The following is a 20,061-nucleotide window of genomic DNA, read 5'->3' on the forward strand; positions in this document are numbered from 1 at the left end:
TTTCTACTATCACATTAATCCTTTTGATTCAAGAGCTTAATGGGAAGTGTAGATATTCTGACTTAGGACAGCAACTACGAAGTAGTTTAGCATTACAAAATCAATCAAGAAACCAACAAATCACTTCAATGGCGCTCATCTTCCAAAAGGCTAAGTGTGTAAATCATGAGAAGGTAGTAAGCTTCGTATTTGAGAGAATGATAAGGATTATAGAGCACATCAGAGAAAAGTGGTATGCCATCTATCTAAAACCCTTAAGAAAAATTAAAGTGACAGAATTGAAGGAATGAACAGATTATATCATTAAAATTTGGTCCTGTGTATCATACCCTACACTTCTGGTTTTAAGGTTTGCATTGTGCAATTGGTTTTAATTATGTTGATTCTTACAAGTGTATCTAAAATGTACAAATGGATAGATTTATTTTCTAGAGTTGTCATTTTCAGTGGCTAAAATTAACGTACTATTGGGAAAATTTTTGTGATCTCCATTGTCATAAATATTAAGTTGATGATGATTTTGTGAATTCATACTTTCTAATGTCCAAGTCACTGCATATAGAATAATTAAATTAATAGACAGAATATCTTTAAACACTAAATGCCACAAGGGTAATATTCAGTGAGCTATAAATTGCTGTTAGCCTCAGTCCCTGGAGGAGATATTTAATATGTGAGTCATCAACTTTTAATGTATCATTTCAAACAATTTTGTGTTCACTAAAAAATTGTGGCTGGGTGTGGTGGCTCACGCCTGTAATACCAGCACTTTGGGAGACTGAGGTGGGTGAATTGCTTGAGCCCAGCAGTTCGGGCTAAGCTGGGCAACATGGCAAAACCCCTTCTCTACTGAAAATACAAAAATTAGTCAGGCATGGTAGGGCATGCCTGTAGTTCAGCTGCTCACGGGCTGAGATGGGAGGATCATTCATGGTAGGGGGGCAGTGTGGAGTTGCAGTGAGCCGAGATCACACCACTGCACTCCAGCCTGGGCGAACAAGTGAGACCTTGTCTCAAAAAAAAAAATAAAATGAAATAAAATAAAAAAGAATAAAAACAATCTTTTAATTTTTTTATGAAATTGCAAATAGATTAGGTAATTATTTTATACATTTAAAAACACACCTTAACAAATTTAAAATAATTGAAATCATACAGAAGGGGTTCTCTGAACATAAAGGAATCAAATTAAAATCGAAAAACAGGAAAATCTTTATACAGGTAGAATGTTTAAAATAATCCAATTAAAAAGTGAGCAAATAGTATGGATAGACATTTCATCAGTGAAGATATATAGATTTCGTATAAACACATGAAAAGACATTCAATACCACTAGCTATTAGGGAAATACAAATTAAAACCATAATTAGGCATCACTCTGTATCTGTCTAATGGCTAAAATTAAAAAAAAATCATGAAAATACCAAATTGTGAGAGAAAATAGTGAAACTACATCATTACTACATACCTGTGAGAATATAAAATAGCATAGCCACTTGAGAAAATACTTTGGAAATTAATTTTAAAACTAAAACTGTAATTACAATAAAAACCCAGCAATTGCACTACTTGCCATTTACTCCAGAGAAATGAAAGCTGATGTTCGCACACACAAAAATAACTTTTTACATGAACATTCTTAACAGCCAGCCTTATTACTAATAGCCAAAAATTTGAAATAACTAGATGTCTTTCAACAGGTGAATAGTAAAACAGTTATGGTACATACATATGTGGATGTACATACATATGTGGAACACTATTCAGCAGTAATCAAGAACAAACTATTGATATGTACAACAACCTGGTTGAATCTCCAGGAAATTATACTGAGTGAAATAAAAAGCAGTCTCCAAAAGGTATATAGTGTATGATTCCATTCATATAATAGTTTTTAAATAATAAACTTTTAAAATGGTAAGCATTATTAACATAGTATTGGTTGCCCAGAGTTAGGGCAGGGGTGGGATGGGGTAGGAAGGTGTGGCTATAAAAGGAAAACATAGCATCCTTGTGGTTATGGAACAGCTCAGTGTCTTTACTGTGGTGGTTTATTCATGAAAATACATAAGAGATAAAGAGCTGAATATGTATACACCCATACTCATACAAGTAATACTGAGGAAATTTTAATAAAACTGGTAGATACAGTCAGTGCTTCAGTGCCAGTATTCTGGTTGTAATATTGTACGAGTATTTTAGAATGGTTCCATTAGGAGAAAATGGGTAAAAGATATGCAAGATTTGATTTTTAAAAAAATAACTGCTCATGAATTTATAATTAACTCAAGAAAAAGATCAATAAAAATGTATGAGGTGTCCGGGCACAGTGACTCACGCCTGTAATCCCAGCACTTCGGAAGGCCGAGGTGGGCAGATCACTTGAGGTCAGGAGTTTGAGATCAGCCTGGCCAACATGGTGAAACCCCATCTGTACTAGAACTACAAAAATTAGCCGGGCGTGGTGGGGCACTCCTGTAATCCCAGCTACTCTGGAGGCTGAGGCAGGAGCATTGCTTGAACCCGGGAGGCAGAGGTTGCAGTGAGCCCAGATCGTAACACTGCACTCGAGCCTAGGTGACAAGAGCAAGACTCGGTCTCAAAAAAAAAAAAAAAATTAGGTGACATCTAACATTTTACGTGCATTTTCAGTGGTTTGAAAGTAAAAATCACAGATACCTACATAAAATATGAATCTAAATATGCATTCATCTTCTTACAACCTAAGTAGACTCTAGCAAAAAAAATCCCTTATGTTTTTACCATGATGTCTCCATATCTGCCTGCCTCTTTAGCTCCATTTTTATTACACCATGTTTTATATTTACTGTGGTCTGTTCATTGTCCTGCTTTTGCATTATCACACACAGGATTTTGTTGCATGCTTGATCTCTACTGGAAATGCCTTTTCCTCAACACTTTTACCTATCTAACTCCTCTTTAACAATTTAAATTCATTCTAAATTAAGAAAACTATCAGTGAATGTTTCACTCTGAGTTAGTTTTCCTTTATCTATTTTGCATAATACTCTTTCCATGTCACTCTCATTGCATTACGAATGATCTATTTAAGGAATCTATTTTAGTCCTTTTACACCACCTTATGGGAACAGAGAATGGGAATTTCCAGAACCAAGAGCAATGCTGGTATAAAACAAATATTCAATAAATACTGTTTGTGTGAATGGGAGTTTTAGATATGATTTTCAAATGTTTCTTTTAAAATTGTATTACTGTCAGATTTATTTGCAGAATTTACGTTTTAAAACTTTTCTTTACATACTTACATTCTGCATTGTTTCAGCTCTTAAAGCAATTTAAATGATTTGTAAAAATTCATGCTCTACATTATCCTTCCCTTATAGTTTTGTTGGAATGTCCTGAGAATTACTTAAATTTGCACCAAGAGATTACAGTAACAATCTTATAATTGCTAGGGTTGGGTTCCCTTTAAAAAGTTATACACAAACATCCTTGAAGAGAAAAAGTCTTTGAATCAGATATTTTGAAATTAAGTTTTCTAAATTACTTTTACAAACCCATCAACTCTTTGTTCTAATCTACCTTCTGGTATTCAAGGCAATTATATTCAGTGTATTAAATTGAGAGATTCCACAGTAGGTGTAAGGAAATGTTATGTAATTGTTTAAGTAAGTCCTAAAATTGCAATCAGTAAATTTTTGTTCAAATCCCGATACAGATTAATAGCTAAGTGACCTTAAAATCAAGTCTGTGATTACACGCATGCTGTGGCTCATGCCTGTAATCCCAGCACTTTGGGAGGCCCAGAGGGTTGGATGACTTGAGGTCAGGAGTTCGAGACCAGCCTTGCCAATGTGGTGAAACCCCGTCTCTACTGAAAATAGAAAAATTAGCTGGGTGTGGTGGCGCTCACCTGTAATCCCAGCTACTCAGGAGACTGAGGGAAGAGAATTGCTTGAACCCAGGAGGCAGAGGCTGCAGTGAGACGAGATCGTGCCACTGCACTATAGCCTGAGCAACAGAGCGAGACCCTGTCTCAAAAACAAAACAAAAACAGAAAATCAGGTTATACTGTTAAAAATGTTGTTTCATCAATAAATTTATGGAGTACTTCAAAGTAATTCTTTGAGGATTAAAAAAATATAGCTATAAAAAATATGAAGTGCTTCAGGCAACAAAAGCAAAAATAGACAAATGGGATTACATCAAACTGAAAAGCTTCTGACAGTAAAAGAAGCAATTAACAAAGTAAAGAGACAATCTATAAAATGTTAGAAAATATTTGCAGGCTATACATCTGACAATGGATTAATATCCAAAATATATTTGAAACGAGAACAACTCAATAGCAAAAACAAAAAGATTAACCTGATTTAAAAATGAGCAAAAGACCTGAATAAATATTTCCCAAAAGAAGACATTCAAATGGCCAACAGGTGTATGAAAACTGGTTCAACACTGTTAATTATCAGGGAAATGAGAACTATAATCACAATGAGATATCACCTCACACATGATAGAATGGCTATCATCAACACAAGAAAATAAGTGTCAGTGGGGATGTGGTGAAAAGGGAACCCTTGCACACTGTTAATGGAAACGTTAATTCAGTCACGGAAAACAGTATGGATGTTCCTCAAAAAATTAAAAATAGAAATACTATATGATCCAACAATCTCATTATTGGGTGTATATCCAAAGGAAATGAAATCAGTACATCAAAGAGATATTTGAGCTCCCACATTCATTGTAGCATTACTTAACAATAGCCAAGATATGAAAATAACTGAAGTCCTCATCAATGGATGAATGGATAAAAACATATGGCATATACAAGTTGGCATTCGTAATATAACAGCCCAAATTCAAAATGCTCCAAAATCCAATACTTTTTGAGTGTGAACATGATACCACAAGTGGAAAATTCCACACCTGCCCCATGTGATAGTTCACAGTCAAAACACAGGCACATAGCCCAGTTTATTCAGCATCCCCAAGGGAGAAAAGACTCTCCCAGATTCCTTCAGGTGTAATTTACTTTTATTCGCACACACCCAGATTTTCACCTAAAAATATAAAATACAATGTACAGTAAACTTTTAATCTTAATGCAGCATCACAGCTGGAGACTGAAAGCCTGCTGCTGTTTGTTGTTGTTGATGTTTAGACGCTGATAGAGGTATTCTGGTGATGCTATTATGCTACTTGGTTACTTTGAGCACCTTCTTTTTCACTGTATTAATAATATATCTTTTTTTTTATCATTCACTACTTATGTGTAAGTGTAGAAAACTGATTGCTTATTGGTACCCCATAAATTTAGAGTTGGGAATGATGGTGATGCTAAGCAACCACAGATTGTCCACATGGATGACTGAGATGGTGACACATTTGGTTTTTGATGGTTCAATGTACACAAACTGTTTTATACAAAAAATTATTAAAAATATTGTATAAAATTACTTTCAGACTACATTTACAAGGTGTATATAAAACATAAGTGAATTTTGTATTTAGACTTGGGCTCGATCCCCATGATATTTCATTATGTATGTGCAAATATTCCAAAATTCAAAAAAACATGAAATTCCTAACACTTATGATCCCAAGCATTTTAGATAAGAGATACTCAACATGTATGCATGATAAAGTACTATTCAATCATAAACATGGGGAAATCCTGTTATTTGTGACAATGTGGATAAACTTGAAAAGGTTTATATTAAGTAAAACAAGCCAGGCACAGAAAAACAAATACTACATCATCTCACTCATATAAAGAATCTAAAAAAGTTCATCTCATAGAAATAGAGAGTAGAATTGTTGTTATCAGAGACTGGGGTGGTTGGGGGAGAGGGTGGTTGTTGAGATGTTTGTTAAAGGATACAAAATTTCAGTGAGATGGGAAGCATGAATTGAAGACACATATTGTGCAACATGATGACTATAGTTAATAACAATTTATTGACTTATTTAAAAATGCTGAGTGGACATATTCTCACTATAAAAATAACTATTGTGAGGTAATACATATGCTAATTAGTGAGATTTAGTCATTTCACAATGTGTATATATACTTCACATTGCACATGATAAATACATACAATTTTGTCAATTAAAAATCAATTTAAAGTAATTTTTAAAGTATGTGATACTTGATAGAAAAATAATAAATATAATCCCAATTCCTCAAGATTTCACTTCTCAGGATATATAACTCATGCTAGTATCTATGTATGATATTGTATAAATTTACTATGCTGCTTGTAAATGTGTACCAAATAATTGAAGCTATGTAATACACTCAAAATAAATACTTAATCCTTGTGAAGCACACAAAAATTTAGAATGTATGCATGATAAAATTTTATTTTGTCAAGTGTTAGAAATTTATTTGAAGAAACATTCTATTTTCCAAACAATAATAACATTTTTTTTCAAATAATTCTTCAGTTTTATAAAGTATCAGTGTTTTAAGTTATTCTGTTCTATGTATACATTGAATATTTTTGATAGCCCCTTTTTGTAAATCTTTCAATCTGTTCATCATAGAAATCTCTTTTATATTTAATAATAAAATAGTCCAGATTTGTTTAAAAAATGTGAAAATTTGGTTTCATCGTATATATTAAACTTTGACTGTTAACCAGAAGTGTATCATAGCTGGAGTTTGAAGGCTCATATTTTTTTTAGGTTTTAATATTTCATAATTACTGTGAATTTCCAACAACTCAGGAGTGGAAAAGAAACTTGTTCACTCAGAAGATTCCTGTGGTATTATATTGCACTCAAATTGTATTCAGGGTTTCATTAGAGAAGCAAAAATAAAAGTAGACCTGACATAGATTTATTAGTCCTAGCAGAGTGTTTATATTTTCTTTATTCAGCTAGGGATGTGTAAGGATAGCCAATGAGAAGACATGAACAACTTCATTAAGAACTAACCACACACACACAAAAGTAATTATGTGAGATGATGACTATGCTAATTTGCTTGATGTAGGAATTGTTTCACTAGATGTACATCAGCACATCATATTATACACTTTAAATATGTTAGATATGAGTTCAAAATTACTTTTCAAATAATTAATATGTCAGTATGTTCAATTCTTTGCTTTCTACTTTTAAAGTGAACTTCCTCGTAAAGCAACCTTTCTTCATTAACTACTACACCCTGACTCATTCAGATCACCTGCTCCACTCTCACTCATTCTGATCACCTGCTCCACCCTCACTCATTCTGATCACCTGCTCCACCCTAACTCATTTAGATTACCTGCTACCTGCTTTGCCGTGACTCCCACCAAAGCACTCCCCCTGTCATTCTCTTTAAATTAGCCAATTGGAATTAGTTTAGCCTGTGCGGTCTAATCCTAGCCAACGGGGGAATGACACAGCAGCAGGGACCACGTGAGTCAGGAATAAGAACGCTTTCCTCTCCCTTGTCCAAGTGTGCACTCACCATTGCTCCATCTGTAAGGGCACCCTTCTATAAAAGTAAGTTGCCTTGCTGATAATTAAAAAGAAAATTTTATATTCAAGTGCTATTCCTTTTGTGGCACCAAAACTTTATATATAACAAATATATACCATTTAAAAAAACCTGATGGGAAGGAATGAAAATATAGACATTAATTCATTTTAAAATACCTGAGTTTGATTTCCATGAGATTTGATTTTATGTGCTCTTAGATAAGTATCAATCTTTTCTAATATGTTGGCTATTATTCTTCCTATTATGAAGTGTTTTTGATTCCAGGTGTATTTTACTAACAATACTTTCTTTTATATCCTGTGTGGTTTATGTAGTCCAACTTTAAATCGCAGAGAAAGAAATAATGTCATTTTCTGGAAAGTACGTCTAATTCTGGAACTGACTGTGACACTACTTCTTGCATCAAAGATTTTAACATTTTTTGACTCAATGATTTTATACTGTGGTCATTTAAGCCAGTACTCTTATGATTAGAAAGCATATAGCTTGGTTCATTGTTGTTTGTTTGTTTTGTTTTGTTTTGTTTTGTTTCCTCCTTTGGTAGATTTTATTTTTTTAGAGTAGTTTTAGGTTTGCAGTAAAATGGAGCAGAAGGTACAGAGAATTCCCATATGCTCTTCACCTGGTATCTCCCCACATTCCCATTATTATTAACATATTCATTAGAGTGAACATTTGTTACAATCTGTGATGGTTAATTTTTTTTTTTTTTGAGACGGAGTTTCACTCTTGTTGCCCAGGCTTGAGTGCAATGGCATGATCTTGGTTCACTGCAACCTCTACCTCCCGGGTTCAAGCCATTCTCCTGCTTCAGGCTCCCTACTAGCCGGCATTACAGATGCCCAACACCATGCCCAGCTAATTTTTGTATTTTTAGTAGAGATGGGGTTTCACCATGTTGGCCAAGCTGGTCTCGAACTCCTGACCTCAGGTGATCCACCTACCTCAGCCTCCCAAACTGTAGGATTACAGAGGTGAGCCATCTTGCCCGGGCCTGTGATGGTTAAATTTGCATATCAACTTCCCTGGGCTAAGGAATGCCCAGACCTCTGGTAAAACATTTCTGGGAGCGGCTGTGATGGTGTTTCTGAAAGATTAGCATTTGAACTGGTAGATTGTTGGTGTAGATTGGTGTTGTCAGTATGCTGAATTTGGACCATTCCAATAGGCATGTATGCTATCTTGATGTTATAATTTACATTTCCCTAATTATGTATAATACTAAGCATTTTATCATGTGCTTATTTTCCATTTGTATATTGCCTTTTGTGGGGCGTCTTTTTAAGCCTTTTGCCTGTTAATTCATTTGTTTTCTTATGCTTCAATTTTAAGAGTTATTTGCATATTTTAGATACAAGTCCTTCATCAAAAATATATTTAACAAATATTTTCTCCTACTCTGTGGCTTGCCTGTTTATCTGAACAGTGTCATTTGAGATAAGAATATTTGATTTTTAATGAAGTTCAACATATCTATCATTTATTTCAGGGACTGTGCTTTTGGTATCATATCTCAAATGTCATCACCTAATTCAAAGTCACCAAGATTTTCTCCTATGTTATCTTGTAGAAATTTTGTAGGTTTGCATTTTACATTTAGAATTTTGGGCAAGCCAATTAACATTTCTGAATCTCACTTGCCATGTTAGTAAAATGGAAATTTTTCACTAAGAGTTTTATATTCCTAAATTAGAATCACTGTTTGTTTTTCAAATAAAATTTTATCTAGAAGCTCCAAAGTTAAAGAAGATAAAATGAGTTACTCTTGTTCATGATGTATATGGAGACCATGGCCCCAGTATACCTGTTTCTTCCAGCAATGCTCAGTATAATATGAAACTACTAAAATAGGAAATTCAAAGGGCCATTCTTAATCATATTTCATAATTTAAAATCCCTCAATTATTTCTCTCTCAAATGTATGAGAACATATAATCAACTTCAGATTTCTACCATGTAGCCTTTCCTTATATTCTTAAAATATCGGATTTTCACAGCCATCAAGTTAATGTTCTTTTTGTCTCATTTTTCCCTCTTCTTTCTCCTTCACATATCATTTGACTCTTTCTTATTTTTATTCTCTTTTTTCTCTTGTATGTTGACAAACATTTATTGAGTTTCTACATTTTGCCTAGCACTGACTTAAGCCTATGAATAAAAAAGAGACATATACAACTCTTTCTTTTTTCAAAATGTTCACAGTCTAAGTCTTCAAACAGATTATAAGTCATAATAAATACACGGTTTTCATAATAACGGTTTAGGAATATGTACACTCTGCCATGATGTTCAAGACAGATTGGCTATTTCTTAGGAATGATAAAAAGTGATGTTTGAGCTGACTTGGAAAGTTAACAGTATTGGGGGGCATAGGAATTCTAGACAGGTTGTAAAGGATAAGTAAAGACACCAGGGTTTAAGTCAGAACAATCTATTTGGAGAATATAAAGTCTACAAGAAAAGGACAGAGTCTGATATTGTTAGAAATAAAACATACGTTCCCCAGTCATTTTTCAAAATTTTATAGTTTTACCCCATAATCACTTAGTACCTCCAATATTAATATGTTCTGTTGTACAGAAATTGTCCAAGATAGCTCTCAAATAACTACAGCCATAAAATGGTTGAAACTGGCCAATATGGTTGTTTCTTGCCTGCACTGATAAATCTGCCTGGGTCAAACACACAATACACATTTTTTTTTTTCAAATATTGGTTGCATAATTTTGATAGTTAACAAAAATGTAAATACAAATATGTAATGTTGTAAGGAAAATACAGACTTTTTGAAAGGTCAAGTTTAGAATGAATTTGTCATTTGTTTGCTACATGAAATAGTTACATGTTTTTACTTTGGCCAACATTTTTCTCTGATAATGGCATAAAATTTTCATTTTGACTTTTATCATGCAAAATTCTATATTAAACTTTAATTAAAATGCTTTAGGTATAGTACCTCAAGAAACAAGTCATAGCTGGCCATGTTCAACTTATATTTCTAGTAAAATAACTATAAACTGAAAACTAGTACAAAATTCCAGACTAAGGGAAAAATATTTTAAAGCACTTTCTCTAAAAATTATTATAGAAACACATAATAAATACTTCACATCTTTTTTTCGGGGTTACTGTGGCTTTTTATTAAATTAATCTTTTATGATGTGAGCTTCAAAGATGACTTTGAATGGAAAAGTTGATCGTTAAAAAAATTCTTTAAAATCTTCCTTTTTTCTTTTCATTTTTCTTCTTTATTTCATTTCTGTCTTTAACTTAAGAAATATTTCACTATCCCAAGGATACACAGACACACATACATATATATATATAAAATATGTGAATAGATATATTTAAGTATATATAAATAAAAGAATCATAAAAAGTTACATGTTATTATGATATTTAAAATCATAATGTTTATTTTAAAATATTTCCCTGCGGGGCTGAGAAAGTAATGGTTAATGCAGAATGGAAAGTTCATGAGTTTTCTCAAGGCCAATGTGGAATTTGGTGTGTTACTATTTGAAGGTAGTAGATGCTATTTTCCTTTTTTTTTTTCTTTTTCGAGTTAATATTTTGCCTTTTTATTCAGAAAGTAGTGTTGGGGAACAAATTGTTCTACTTGTTTGCATTGATGAATAGTACCCCAAGATCCAGACATTTTCCTTTCAATTTAACAGAAGAAATATGAAAAATCATGTCATAAAATATATATATATACACATGGACAGATAGAGGGGAACAACACACACTGGGGCCTATCGGAGGGTGGATGTGGGAGGAGAGACAGAATCAGGATAAATAACTAACGGGTACTAGGTTTCATACCTGAGTGGTGAAATAATCTGTATAACACCCCATGACAAAAGTTTACCTATGTAACAAACCTGTACTTACATGCCTGAATCTAAAATAAATGTAAAAAAAAATTAAATTAAAAAATAGATGTTGGTTTAAAGGAATTATTTATATCTCCTATAAAGGTAAGTGGTATATTCATTATAAATTTCTGTATTTAAAAATTGAATTATATAGATAAAAAGCTGTACCAGAAAACAGTTTTGAGTAGTTTATTTGGCTGAAAATCATGGTATTGCAGTTAAAATCAAATAAGACTGGGTAAGCCTAGAAAGGACTTAATTATGAGTTTGCACTACACAAACCTGAGAACAAACTCCAGTAAGTTAATAGTGCTTTTATTAAAGTCAAAGTTTAATTGAGAATATTCTATGTAAACACTGAATCTGTAATTTCTAAATCATAATCAAATTATGTATATTTATATAAAATACTTGTTATTAAATATTATTTGTTGTTTTAATAAGATATCCATTTTGATATTTTGATAAGGATATAATTGAATAAAAAAACTCACCAACATTATACTTAGTGAAACTTTCCCTAAAGTATGGTAAAAGTTTCTATAATCCAACTGTGAGCTGGGCAGCAGTTTATTTAAATTGCAGACTGCATCTGTAGAGCATCCTCTAGAACATCTGTCTTATGGTCTTAGTAGATAAGTCCACAGCACAGATGTCACTCCTATTAACTCTCATAGAGAAGAAGCTGAACAATTAGGTGGGGAGAAGTGGTAAAAATTAGGGTATGATCAGTTACAATTTCAGAAAATTTCCTAATATATCATAAATTTCACTGTTAAATGAATTTAAACTTTTGCAAGTGGAGGTGTGGTTTATAAGTGCCTATTTCTCTTGCTAGATACATTATATTAATAGGAGTGTGTATGGGGATATGTATGTAAAATTTTTGAGAGAGAGTTAAAAATTGTTGCAAATATGAAAATAAGTAGCTATCAATAAATCAAAAAATATCAAGTAAAGAATTCTAATAGGTCTATGGCAAGAAAAATGTATACAATTAAGAACAAAATAACAGAAAAAAACATAATACAATAGCATGCCAGGTAGAATAATGTAATATTGAAATTAAACATTAAAAATTATATTAATTTTCCATTGTAAGACTCTTTGGTAGTTTATTTGAAATTATCTTACTAAGTTTTTTAGAGGAAGCTTTTACTGCCCTAAGTATTTGCAATTAATGTCATGATACTCTTCTGAGGCGATAACCAAAACTTACGTTATATTTGATGTAAATATGTTTTTACTTAAATAAATAATCAATTTGTGCCATAAACATTGTAAGAAAAGATTATCTCACCTCATTAGGCTGTCTTTGTCCTTGACTAAATTTAGGTAAATGGTTCTTGAGAATTTGTAGCATCACATGTACTTAAACTAGAGCAGGTAGCAACTGTTAATGAGAAAAAATATACTCTGGTATGGTCAATTCATTGTTTTGACAGGTTTAACAAACAAAATGACTTGCCAGACTTGATCATAACATCATTCATCAATGAAATAGTGAAACTAATCTATACATGCTTTAACCTGGAAGTGAGAGGCCAAACTGACAAACTGGCCTCATATATATTGCCATTGTTTAGTGTAATCAACAAATTCAGTAGCAGATTTCCCCTCAACATAACAGAGGTGTCCATTTGACATACTAGATTAAAACATAGGATATGGAAAATGATATTTGGTATTTAAGACATACTGTAATTTTTTAATACACCATTGTATCTTTTTCAAATTTGTCACTTTAAGATATCTTGACTAGCATGCATATATTGGAGGGCAAAGATAACAGATACAATAAGTTATGTGACTTTTATTGCAATCCTTTGTTGCTTTGCTGTAATCAAAGTAAAAAAAAGTACAAAAAAAACTGAACATTATAGAATAACATTCAAATCTTGACTTAAAAAATTACATTGCAGAAACAAAGAAAATTGGTGATAAAAATAGTATATATATTATGCACCTGATGTGGTTTGGTTCTCTGTCTCCATCCAAATCTCATGTTGAATTGCAATCCCCATTCTTGGAGTTGGAGCCTGGTAGGAGGTGATTGGATTATGGGGGTGGTTTCTAATGGTTTAGCACCATCCCCTGCAGGCTGTTTCATGATAGAGTTCTCATGAGATCTGGTTGTTTGAAAGTATGTAGCACCTCCCCCTTTTCTCTTTCTTTCTCTCTCTCCTGGCGCCACGTGAAGACATACTTGCTTTCCCTTTGCACTTCTGCGGTGATTGTAAGTTTCCTGAGGCTCCTGAACCATGTTTCCTGTACAGCATGCAGAACTGTGAGTTAATTAAACCTCTTTTATTCATAAATTACCCAGTCTCAGGTAGTTCTTCACAGCAGTGCAAGAACAAACTAAAACAGCACCTTAATGCATTTTCCCTCTATTGATAAAAGTGATTGCTCTCACAGTTTCATCTTATTCCATCATGCCTTCTAAGAATTAGATTTCTATTTTGCCTTTTGTCTTTACTGTACTTTGAAATTATATTTTATCTAGTTTAGTCTGCAGGAGTGGTAAGCATCATTTCAGGAAAGGCACTGAAAATAATGGATTCTTGGAAGAAGCATGTCTTTTCATTTCTTTAAACAGTGATTCTTTTTTGTCTATAGAAAACACAAGTTGCTCAAAAGGTATTGATTTTGTAGCTTGTGCAGATAGCATTTTCCTTGTTATCAATCTCTACCAGGTTTTAAAATCCTAGGGAATATCTTTTTTAAAAATTTTCTGAATATTTATATGGGTAGTTTAAGAAGAATGTTATTTAGAGTAGTTTATTCTAACTTTAAAGATACTGCACATCATCTGATTTTCCTCAATTATCCTCAGTTATTCCTAATCCTCTAGCAAGTTTAACCTGATGAATTTGAGGCCTTCTGAAGCACAGGTAAGTAGTTCATCTTAGCTGCTATATGTGCATCATCAAGGGTGAGGTCCAGATGTTTTTAGAGATTTATGATCTGCCTAAATCATCCTTTCCCTCTTCTAGGACTATAACTGTTAGATAGATACACATAGAAATCAATAGCCAAGTTATAAATGTCAACTTTCTTGATGGCTGGGCAAGTACTGATGCTTTTATCCCCCTATCTTAAAGTAAAGTTCTGGTAGAGCTCAATATGAATACAGCTTAAGTCAGGATGGCTTGGAAAACGGGCTATACATGTTTCCTACAAATCACCACTGAAAATGAAAATTATATCTGTATGTTCACTCCCCTGTGTGCCACAGTATAAATAGAGAAGAAAATGTTGGAAGCATCCTACCCCCATCTACTCCTTCATTTGAGTGAATCAACCCAGAGAGACTGGAGCAGTAGTTTTAAAAAACAGGAGTGAAAACACTGAACATAATCACCTTAATACAGATGAGTAGATAAATCTGATAAATAGAGAACAGTGAATCGTTACACAAAATACAGTGGAAACACCAAAGGGGGATGAGAATCCTGGCACAAAAGTGCAATTTAAAGTTTTCTTGAGAATCGTGGATTGTTGGCAGAGACAGTAAGGCCAAAACATAGAGATGTTACAGAGTAGCAAGAAAATGTTGCTAGTCTGGTACTCAGATAGAAATTAACTGCATTTTTTTCATGTTTTGATGTTTCCTTCCCTTCCCCAATTTTGAAATATTAAAATAAAAATCAGTTCTTGAAATTAAGAAGATGGTGATGATGATGACAGTGATGGCAACAATGATGGAAGAGGTCTTATTGCCTGCTCACTTCGTGCTTGACTCTCTCCTGAAAGCCTTCTCTTGGAGGACATTAGCTTTCCCTATCATAAAAATTATTTATGTTTCTGACGTGGCTGTTTCTGATAAGGCAAAGCTCATTATATTTAAGAACTACATTAGTCAGTGCTTTTAAACCTATAATGAAAGTTACATCACATCATGCCTAAAAGGGAGAATTACAAATTTTCCTCCGAAGAAGATAGCCTGTACAACAAAGGGACTGCAAAATTTTCCCAATTTGCGTTGGTAAGGACTTGAAAGTATGTTTGTAAATTAATAGGTTGTAAGGGTGTTAGATCAAGGAGAACATATATGTCTTAAATTATTGATATGGCTGTACTTACCTTAGAGGCAAATTTTAATGTGTTAGCTTGAGCGCTTGGATGGTTCTAACAGCTGTCTTGGCTAATTGAAGATTTTATTCAATGGTTATCCATGATCACTAATCCTGAGATGCCAAAAATGCCCTTGTATATATTAGAGTAGGGATTCTAAACCTTTGGGTGGGGGTGTGTGTACCTGTGTGTGCATAGGGGCCATGAATCCCTCTATCTGGTTAAGCTATGAACCTCTGTAGCAAATAACTTTTTACATTGATAAGGTAAAATACTAAAGATTTTTTTTTTTTTAAAAACCTAATTATGTTGACTATATGTGTGAATTTAAAAATGTGGTATAGTTAGGCTTGCCCCTGTGGCTCACTCCTGTAATCCTACCACTTTGGGAGGCTGAGGCAGGTGGATTGCCTGAGCTCAGGAGTTCAAGACCAGCCTGGGCAACACGGTGAAACCCCATCACTACTGAAACCCAAAAAATTAGCTGGGTGTGGCAGTGTGCACCTGTAATCCCAGCTACTTGGGAGGCTGAGACAAAAGAATCGCTTGAACCCAGGAAGCGGAGGTTGTAGTGAGCCAAGATCATGCCATTGCACTCTAGCCTGGGTGACAGAGTGAGACTCCATCTCAAAATAAAAATAAAAATAAAAATGTGGTACAGTTAAACATGTGTGGTGTTTAATAATATATTAGTAACAAAACATAATAGATTTGCAACTTCTGTGTCTTCAAAGTAGTGATATCTATCTATAAATAAATAGTATTTTGAAATATAAGCATAATATCATGTACATTTTTCTATTGGTGACAAAAATCACAGATGCTACTAATACTACTGGCTTCTTGCTTATATTCTTAAGGAAGGAAATACTAATTTTTTTTTAGTTTGTTGAAACCAGTTTTTTACAACTCATATTCATAGAATATCCTGCCTTCTATCCATGTGAACTACATTTTAAGAAGCCCTTGCAGAGAAGAGAGTATGAAGGCTTTGGCAGTTGGCATGTTGCAGTGGATTTATTATATCCATGTGCTACTCAGCCACCTCTTAACCATTTAACCAAACCTTCCATAGTATCAACAGATGGGGATTATCTCTATCAGGAAAAATTAAGTCATAGCTCCATACTCAACTTCTAGACCTAACAAATTCAGTTTCATGACTTCCAGGCCCTCAATTGATGGAGATACTGGGTTTCTTTGAAAAAAGAACCAACAAGCCATTAGTTTATTTTATAAAATTTTCTCCACCCCTCCACAAAGGGACATGCAGTTTCTGACCAAGGTGACTGTATACTAGGAAAAGAGAAATACTAAGACATTGGGGAAATTATTAGAAACATACTCAAAGTTATTGCTATACCTGGGTAAATGAAAAACTACTGCAGTCTACCAGTCAAGAGTGAGGGTTAATGGATTAGTTGATAGAGAAAACCTACAAACTTATGCTATAGTTAATTTCTTATCTTCCTGAATGCAGAATTTGAATACATATGTTTTACCCCTGTTAAAATCTCCACACTGACTCCCTTAACTCTAAAATGAAGGCTATTATGGTATGAAATATTTTTTTAAAAGACACTGGAGGTGTTCATCACCGCAAATAAAAGAAAGCACTGAAACTGCCACAACTGGCCCATGGAACTGATGTTTACTGTTTTTTGGACAGGCATAGATATTGACCCTCCTGGTCTTAAAGCTTGAAACTTACATTTGTCTTATCTGAATTACTTCCTAAGTTAACTGAGCCTCAGACAATAAAATGCCAGACCCCTCATCCGTCATGATTCCTGTTTACCAACTTCTCTTCCTTACCACTTCTTAATTCCTGTTTTCCCACACATAGTTACATTTCTTCCCTTTTACATAAGCACCTACTTTTAGTCCATTCAGGATGCAAACTGATGGTAGTGAATAAGTCTCACAAGATCTAATGGGAGTTCCCCTGCACAAGCTATCTCTTGCCTGCCACCATGGAAGACATGACATTTTTTCCTCTTTTGCCTTCCACCATGATTGGGAGGCCTCCCAAGATATGTGGAATTGTGAGTCAATTAAACCTCGTTTCTTTATATGTTACTCAATCTTGGGTATGTCTTTATTAGCAGTGTGATAACAAACTGATACAATGTTCATGACTGCTAACTGATCAGAGTGGTGGTTGCTGAAATTTAGGGTGGCTGTGGCAATTCCTTAAAATAAGACAACAATGAAGTTTGCCACAGCAATTGACCCTTTCATGAAAGATTTCTCTGTAACACGCAATGACGTTTGTTAGCATTTTACCCACGAAAGAACTTCTTTTGAAATTGCAGTCAGTTCTTTCAATCCCTGCTGCTATTTTATCAAATAAGTTTACATAAAATTCAAAATTCTTTGTTATTTCCACATGATTCACAGTGTGTTCACCAGGAGTAGATTTCATTTCAAAACCACTTCCTTTGCTCATTGATAGGAAGCAAATCTTCATTCGTTACAGTTTTATCCTGAGATTTTAGCAAGTTAATAACATCTTCAGTCTCCACTTCTTCTAGCTCTTTTGCCATTTTCACCACGTCTGCAGTTACTTCTTTCCCCTGAAGTCTGAAATCTCTCAAATTCATCCATGAGTGTTGGAATCAACTTCTTCCAAACTCCTGTTAATGTTGGTATTTTGACCTCCGTAACAAATGTTCTTAATGCCATTGACATCTATAATTGTGAGTCCCTTCCAGAATGTTTTCAATATAGTCTTCCCAGTTCCATCAGAGGAATTCTTATCTATGGCAGCCACAGCCTATGAAATTCATTTCTTAAATAATAAGACTTGAAAGTCAAGATTACTACTTGATTCGTGGGCTGCAGAATAGATGTTTTTCTAACAGGCGTGAAACTAACAATAATTTAATGTACATCTTCATCAGAGCTCTTGAGTGACTAGGTGCCTTGCCAATGAGCAGGAATATTTTGAAAGGAACCTCTTTCGTTGTTGTTTTTCAGCAATAAGTCTCAAGAATGGCTTAAAATATCCAGTAAACCATGACGTCAACATATGTGCTTTTATCCAGGCTTTGTTGTTCTGTACTCCATAGAGTACAGGCAGAGAAGATTTAGCATAATTCTTAAGGGCCCTAGGATTTTCAAATTGCAAATGAGCACTGGCTTCAACCTTAAGTCATTAGCTGCCTAGTTGCTTACAAGAGAGTCAGCCTGTCCTTTGAAGCTTTGAAGCCAAGAATTGACATCTCCTCTCTAGCTCTGAAAGTCCTTGAGGACTTCATCTTCTAATAGAAAGCTGTTTTGTCTACATGGAAATTTTGCTGTTTAATGTAGCCAACTTCATCCATTATCTTAAATAGATCATCTAGATAACTTGCTGCAGCTTCTACATCAGCATTTGTTACTTCATTTTGTACTTTTTTATGTTTTGAAGACATCTTCTTTTCTTAAGCCTCATGAACCAACCTCTGCTAGCTTCAACATTTCTTCCGCACTTTCCTCACTTCTCTTACCCTTTATAGATTGAAGAGAGTTAGGGCCTTGCTCTGGATTAAGGTTTGGTTTAAGATAATGTTGTGGCTAGTTTGATCTTGTATCCCTACCACTCAAACTTTCCATATCAGCGATAAGTTGTTTTGCTTTCTTATCATTTATGTATTCACTGGAGTAGCACTTTAAATTTCCTTAAAGAACTTCTCATTTGCATTCACTATTTGGCAAACTATTTGGCACAAGAGACCTGCTTTCAGTCTATCTCAACTTTCAACATGCCTTCCTCACTGAGCTTAATCATTTCTAGCTTTTGATTTAAAGTGAGAGACATGGGACTCTTCCTTTCTCTTGAACACTTAGAGACTATTGTAGGGTTATTATTGGCCTAATTTTAATATTATCTCGTCTTAGGGAATAAGGATTCCTGAAGAAAGGGAGAGAGATGGGGGAATGGCTAGTCAGTGGGGCAGTCGGAATACACACAACATTTATCCTTTAAGTTTGACATCTTATATGGGTGCAGTATGTGGCACCTCAAAACAATTATAATAGTAACATTAAAAATCACTGATTACAGATCATCATAATAAATACAGTAATAATGAAAAAGTATTGCAAGAATTACCAGAGATACAGAAGTAAAATGTGACACAGAGACATAAAGTGAGCACATTCTGTTGGGAAAATGGTGCTGATAGACTCACTCAATGCAGGGTTGCCACAAACCTTCAATTTGTAAAAACTGCAATGTCTGCAAAATGCAAAAAGGTGAAGCACAATAAAACAAAGTAAGCCTGTAGTTAGAAGCATTTCTGTTTCCTTGATTACACCCTGAATAATAAGTAGATAAAAATTAATTACAAATTATATAAGCTTCTATTAAGTTAGATGAATATTCATAATGATATAACAATGATGTTGCCAATGAAATGGGTTATAGCAATTACATATGGATGAATAGATCACATGAACTTTTGAAGTTTCATCTATTCAGGGGAATTGGGATGTATTAGAATGACATGTAGGAAACAAACAGTAATTGCTAATACAAATGAATACTCATTTTAGTATTTTAGCATGAAGATTATTTATGTTTGTGTATTTATAAATCTTTTCTCCTGTCTCCCATTCCATATGTCTTTCTGTATATCTAT

Source organism: Homo sapiens, chromosome 5 (assembly GCF_000001405.40).
Source record: "Homo sapiens chromosome 5, GRCh38.p14 Primary Assembly".
Classification (NCBI taxonomy): domain Eukaryota; kingdom Metazoa; phylum Chordata; class Mammalia; order Primates; family Hominidae; genus Homo; species Homo sapiens.